General features: G+C 38.8%; 1 long non-coding RNA gene across 1 annotated transcript in view; it reads right to left on the minus strand.

Moving 5' to 3' along the window:
- The window catches only part of LOC105374434 (uncharacterized), a 33,835-nt gene that overhangs the window by 11,851 nt on the left and 14,738 nt on the right, over positions 1–7,246 (minus strand). The window lies entirely within an intron of this gene.

Here is a 7,246-nt window from a genome sequence, read left to right on the forward strand (position 1 = left end):
TTCTTATTTTCCAGAATAATTTCAAAACCATGTTTTATTGTGTTCCTTATATAATCTACATTTACTATTACTTTTAGAAGATTATCTAGTGTCTTCCTTTACAGAAAAATAAAACTAAACGAGTAAAATAAAATCAAATTGAAGGTGTAAAATTATTCGATTTTCAAGTCCCTCTCCTGGTTATCCGCTTTTTTTTTTTTTTTTTTTTTTTTTGAGGTGGAGTCTTGCTCTTGTCACCCAGGCTGGAGTGCAGTGGCGCGATCTCGGCTCACTGCAAGCTCTGCCTCCGAGGTTCAAGTGATTCTCCTGCCTCAACTTCCTGAGTAGCGGGGATTACAGGCACGTGCCACAATACCCGGCTAATTTTTGTATTTTTAGTAGATACGGAGTTTCACCATGTTGGCCGGGCTGATCTGGAACTCCTGATCTCAGGTGATCCACCCACCTCGGCCTCCCAAAGTGCTGGGATTATAGGCGTGAGCCACTGCACCCAGCCTCTGCATATTTTTATGTCCCCTCCTTCCTTGTCCTAGAGGTACAGATGCCCCTCATCTGACCAGACAAATTTCTTCCCTTATACTCTGTCTTCCACTTTCTTATAAATACTTATTACCCTTTCTTTAGTTGTCCACATTTTCTTTTACTCATTCTCTTTCATTTTAGCTTTCAAATATATGCATGTGGAAATAATAGTCTACACTCCATTTTCCTAATCTCACTTTTAATTCCCTCTGTTTGCCTCTCTCAGTAAAATAACTTTGTCAAGGTCACCAATGGCTTTGCTGCAAAATCCTACCTTTGTGATACTTGTCTTACTGATTATTTGAAAATATTATTACATCAATATTTATTTATGTATTTATGTATGTATTTATTTATTTATTTTAGAGACAGAGGCTTGCTTGGTTGCCAAGGTTTCAATGCAGTGTTGTGATCATAGTTCACTGCAGCCTTGAACTCTTGGGCTCAAGGGATCCTCCTGCTCCTCCCAAGGAGCTGGGACTATAGGCATATGCCACTATACTTGAATAATAATTTTTTGTTTTTTGTAGAAATGGGAGTCTCACTTTGTTGTCCAGGCTAGTCTTGAACTCCTGGCTTCAAGTGGTCTTCCCAACTCAGCCTCCTATGTCAATATTCTTGAAATTATCACTTCCCTTGACTTTTTCCTATAGTCTTGTAGAGCACTCATTTTGAAACACTTTTGCCAGGTTTTCTTCTTCCACTTGCTCCTTCAGTAATATTTCTCTCTAAGCTTTGTACCTTGCCCTCATCTTGATTAATTATAAACACTTCTTGATACTGTTGGTTTCTAAGTCTGCATATTCAAGACAAACATATATGGATCTATTCGCCTATTGGTCAGCTGTATTTGGTTTAATCTGATTAAACCTAACCAAAAATGAATTCATCATTTTATTCCTTATTCCTTATCAGTCCAGCAGAACACACTTTGTACATGGTACTTTCATCCACTCAGTTACCCAAGCTAGAAATCAGAATTATCCTTGACTCCTCCATTTTTTTCTTACACAAATGCTCCAGGTGCCCATATTTTATTATTTCAATCTCCTCAACCTCCTTTATTTCTCCAGTTCCTCCCTTTAAATATTCAGTGACACTACCATAACTGGACTCCTGGAATTTCCTCTAACCAGCCTCCCCGACAACAGACTGCTCCTTCACAACTTCAATGTAATCTTTCTAAAATACAAATCTTCTTGCTTTTCTTCTAATCACCAGGATAAAATAAGACATATTCAACAAAGCAAGCTAAAATATTTTATCTATCTCTATTTTTCTAGCTCTATTTCTAGTCAATCCATTGCTAGAATTTCTTTTGTGGTTCCATTAAGTATGTGCATTTCCTCTAATTCAGTGGCTATTTTGACCACAGGCTATTTTCCCCACTCTCTACCCACAGGGTATTTTCCCCACTCTCTACCCACAGGGAACACAGGTAATGTTTAGAGCCATTTTTTTTTGTTGTTGTTGTAACTTGAAAAGGGAGTACTACTGGCATCTATTTGGTAGAGGCCAGAGATACTGCAAACATCCCAAAATGAACAGCACAGAACAAATAATTATCTGATCCAAAATATCATTAGTACCAAGCTTGAAAATTCCTGCCCTAATTCAATGTCATAATTCTCATCCCTGTGCCTTTGTACATGCTGTTCTCTCAGTGTGGAATCCTCTCCCTTTAACATCTGTCTGATTTCTGCAAGTTCATCAAGGTTCTTTCTGTGTATTGTCTCTTCTGTAATTATTCTAACTAATCTTCCTTCCAAATTACACTTAAGGCAATTTATTTTATCCTCATCACATTGCTATCTTTCTCAAAATCATTCAGACTTTCCATTTCCAAGTCAATATTCCTTACATTGGCACTAAAAGCCCAGCAAAACAGGGGAATGAACTGCATGAATGTTACCCCCCTCCAGTTTTTCCTATTCATATTCTATGATTCATCCAGAATGGGTTAGTTCACATTTCTGCATCTTACGCACGTCTGTAATTTTGATCCATTTCTTTCTTCTAATTTATATGCTTCTTTGTCTGCCTGATTATCTCTACCAACTAAACTCTTACCAGATTTCCAAGGCTCATCTTATGCAAATCTCTGCTTTTTTGAGACTCGTCCATCCAGCTCTACCACTTACTTGCCCTCATTTTGGTTACCTACTCTGTTCTGTGAATATTTCTTCATTCACTGGAAACTTTAGCTCCACAATCAGGCTTTATATCTACTTAAATCCCTGATAACATCCTGGGAGACATCCAGCCAGATGACATGTCTAGTTGCTTTAATGTCTCATTTCCAGCAATGGCAATCTTATTTTAAAATGATAATAACAATTATAATGTTAATAACAATAGGTTACACTAATTGAGCACTTACTGTGCTTGAGGCACTGTGTAAAGTCCTTTAACATCAGTTATCTCTCATCTTCCTTATCTAGTGCCTGCATTTTTCAAGAATATTGATCTCTACACAGCAAAACATCTTTTCTTCTATTACTTCATAGTGGACAGATCACTGTCCCTCCACAGTCACTCTTCATCATTGTCCAATTTTCTGTACCCTAGGAGGTGAATCAATATGAACTGCATCCATGGGTTCCTTTGCTTTTTGGAAGACAGCAGGCATTGACAGGAGATGATATGGTTTGGCTGTGTCCTCATCCAAATCTCACCTTGAATTGTAATAATTCTCACATGTCTTGGGAGGGACCTGGTGGAAGGTAATTGAATCATGAGGGCAGGTTTTACTATGTTTTCCTTGTAATAGTCAACAAGGCTGATGAGATCTGATGGTTTTATAAAGGGGAGTTCTGCTACACACGTGCTCTCTTGCCTGCTGCCATGGAAGACGAGGCTTTGTTCCTCATTAACCTAACACCATGATTGTGAGGTCTCCACAGCCATGTGGAACTGTGAGTAAATTAAACCTCTCTCCTTTATAAATTATCCAGTCTTGGATATGTCTTTATTAACAGTGTGAGAACAGACTAATATAGTAAATTAGTACCAGTAGAGTCAGATGCTACTGTAAAAATACCTGAAAATGTGAAAGTGACTTTAGAACTGGGTAACAGGCAGAGGTTGGAACAGTTTGGAGGGCTTAGAAGAAGACAGGAAGATGTGGGAAAGTTTGGAACTTCCTACAGACTTGTTAAATGGCTTTGACCAAAATGCTGATAATGATATGGACAATAAAGTCCAGGGTGAGGTGGTCTCAGACAGAGATGAGGAACTTGTTGGGAACTGAAGCAAAGGTGACTCTTGCTATGTTTTAGCAAAAAGACTGGTGGTATTTTACCCCTGCCCTAGAGAGTTGTGGAATGTTGAACTTGAGAGAGATGATTTAGAGCATCTGTCAGAAGAAATTTCTAGACAGCAAAATGTTCAAAAGTTGACTTGAATACTGTTAGAAGCAGTTTTATGTATTCACAAAGATGGAATTGGATCTTTTGGAATTGGAACTTAACATTTAAAAGGGAAGCAGAACATAAAAGTTTGAAAAATTGACAGCCTGACCATGCAATAGAAAAGAAAAACCCATTTTCTAAGGAGAAATTCAAGCTGGCTTCAGAAATTTACATAAGTAATGAGGAGCCAAATGTTAATCACCAAGACAATGGAGAAAATGTCTCCAGGGCAACCCAGAGACCTCTGTGGCAGCCCCTCCCATCACAGGCCTAGAGGTCAGGAGGAAAATATGGTTTCCCGGGCTCCGTCCAGGGCCCCCCTGCTGTGTGTAGCCTAAGGACTTGGTGCCCTGTGTCCCAGCTGCTTCAGCTGTGGCTAAAAGGGGCCTTGGTACAGCTTGGGCCATGGCTTCAGAGGGAGCAAGCCTTAAGCATTGGCAGCTTTCACATGGTATTGAGCCTGCAGGTGCACAGAAGACAACAACTGAGGTTTGTGAACCTCTGCCTACATTTCAGAGAATGTATGAAAATGCCTGGATGTCCAGACAGAGGTGTGCTGCAGGGGTGGAGCCCTCATAGAAAGCCTCTGCTAGGGTAGTGCAGAAGAGAAATGTGGGGTGCAAGCCCCCAGACATGGTCCCCACTGGAGCACTGCCTAGTGGGCCTGTGAGAAGAGGGTCACTGTCCTCCAAACCCCAGAATGGCAGATCCACTTGCACTGTGTGCCTGGAAAAGCTACAGACACTCAATGCCAGCCTGTGAAAGCAGCCAGAAGGGGGGCTGTACACTGCAAAGCAACAGGGGTGGAGTTGTCCAAGACCATAGGAACCCACCTATTGCATTACTGTGACCTGGATGTGAGACATGGAGTCAAAGGAGGTCATTTTGGAGCTTTAATATTTGACTACCCCATTGGATTTCAGACTTGTATGGAGCCTGTATCCCCTTCATTTTGGCCAATTTTTCCCAATTGGAATGGGTGTGTTTACCCAATGTCTGTATTTCCATTGTATCTAGAAAGTAACTAACTTACTTTTGATTTTACAGGCTCATAAGCAGAAGGGACTTGCCTTGTCTCAGATGAGACTTGGGACTATGAACTTTTGAGTTAATGCTGAAATCAGTTAAGCCTTTGGAGGACTGTTAGGAAAGCATGATTAGTTTTGAAATGTGAGGAAATGATATTTGGGAGGGACCATTGTGGAATAATGTGGTTTGGCTGTGTCCCCACCCAAATCTCACCTTGAATTGTAATAATACCCACATAATGTGGGAGGGACCTGCTGGGAGGTAATTGAATCATGGGGATGTGTCTTTCCCATGTTGTTCTCATGATAATGAATAAATCTCACGAGATCTAATGGTTTTAAAAAGGGGAGTTTCCTTGCACATGTGCTCTCTTGGCTGCCACCATGTATGAGGAGACTTTGCTCTTCATTTACCTTCCACCATGATTGTGAGGCCTCCTCAGCCATGTGGAACTATGAGTCAACTAAACCTCTTTCCTTTATAAATTACCCAGTCTCAGGTATGTCTTTATTACCATCATGAGAACAGACTAATACAGTAGATCAGAGAAGAGGAAGGTGGAGTTCTAATTCCTCTGGTTCCTACTCTATGGGGTCACTTTATGTTGGTGTTATTCCTCTAAGGTTGGCTTTATTCCTCTATTGATGACTGAAGATCCTTTTACTCAGCCATCTTCATATAGATATCTGTCTCTTTGTTCCTCCAGGCACAGTGTGATAATAGCTTCCCTCTGTTTCTAGTCCTCAGATACTGTACTACTTGTTGTTGGTTTCCCTAAAACCTACCTATACCTCGTAAATAGTTCCTGTATTAGTTTTTGCAACTAATTAGTTTAAAGTTATTTAATTTTAGTATTCCTTCTGTTTCCTGAAGGGACCCTGAATAATTCCCTACTTCAAATATTCACTTCCATTGTCACAACCAAGTCCAGACCTTCCCCTCTGTGATCATCTCATCCTTCCTGGTTACTTATTCCCAGTAACACCACTCCAAGCGAATTTTTATTAAGACTTTCAGGAGTTTATCCTACCACTTAATCACTATTACTCCACTTGTTGGTGAAGCCTGTTGTTACCTCACACTGGATGATGTCTTCCTGTTCCTTTCCTCAAAATGTCCTGCATATTCATTACAGTTAGAAATGCTTGTTTAATATTATTCTTTCTCACCAAAATATGTTTCTGTCACATTAACTACTGTTTTAATCACAGCACATAGGAAGTACTCAAATAATATTTCAATGACTATTTGTTTAAAAATACATATATGATGCTATAGTACTGTAAAAAAGAATTAGGAGGTGGGCTAATTTATTTTAGGGTAAAGGAAACCTTTTAGCAATAAGTGAGTTCTATGCACAGAGGTCTTTCATACAATATATCCTAATTTTTTCCAAATTGCCTTATTAATGCATTCTTTTAAATTCACATGGCACTTTCTTCTCTCTTACACTATGCATCCTAATTCTACCTTGTATTCTTACTACTGTGTACTTGACACCTCACTCTACTTCCCAGCACCCCACTCTATCCCACAATGATTATTATCTCTTTGGGTAAATATCAGTCTTCCTCCACTTTGCATTCTCTGTAGCATACAACAGAGACATGGGAATAGAGGTGGTACCCAATTTTTGATGTAATACATAGTTGTTGACACTCAGTTCCAATGTTATGCCCTAATATTTTTAATGCGTTAGTTTAATGTGCATTTATTTAAAACATTGTATTTACCAGACCCTGTTGTCTTATACTGAATTTGTAGTTGCAGAAATTTTAAGTTCTTTTCAAAATAGCTATAACTGCTTTCTGTCACTCAGCTCACACATTTTTGTAGTTGATTTTTGGATTATGAGTGCATAATTTTCACTTAACTTTGTTAAATTCACTTTGTCAATTTTAGCTCATTTTCAATAACTTGATAATTTCAGAATAATGCTCACAGAAGTGAGGTAAATACTTTCTGTACTGACATTGAAGACATACCTAATTCTTTAAATCATACTTTTTGTCATTAAAAGTAATTGCAGAAACAGCAATTAACTTTTGCATTGATCTAATATTATTCACGGAAAGACTCAAGCATTTCCATTTGGTATGTTAAAATATAATGCAGGATCTTGATGATGAAAACCCCTTGGAGTATTTATCTCCCTCGCGTTATCTTTTATTTTAAATTAAAAATAAATATGCTGTTTGTGCTCAGTCTATGGTATATGTTGAATTGTGTTTGCCCAAAAAAGGTCTGTTAAAGTCCTTTATCTCCAGTACTTCAGAATGCTACCT

Source organism: Homo sapiens, chromosome 4, assembly GCF_000001405.40.
Source record: "Homo sapiens chromosome 4, GRCh38.p14 Primary Assembly".
Taxonomy (NCBI): domain Eukaryota; kingdom Metazoa; phylum Chordata; class Mammalia; order Primates; family Hominidae; genus Homo; species Homo sapiens.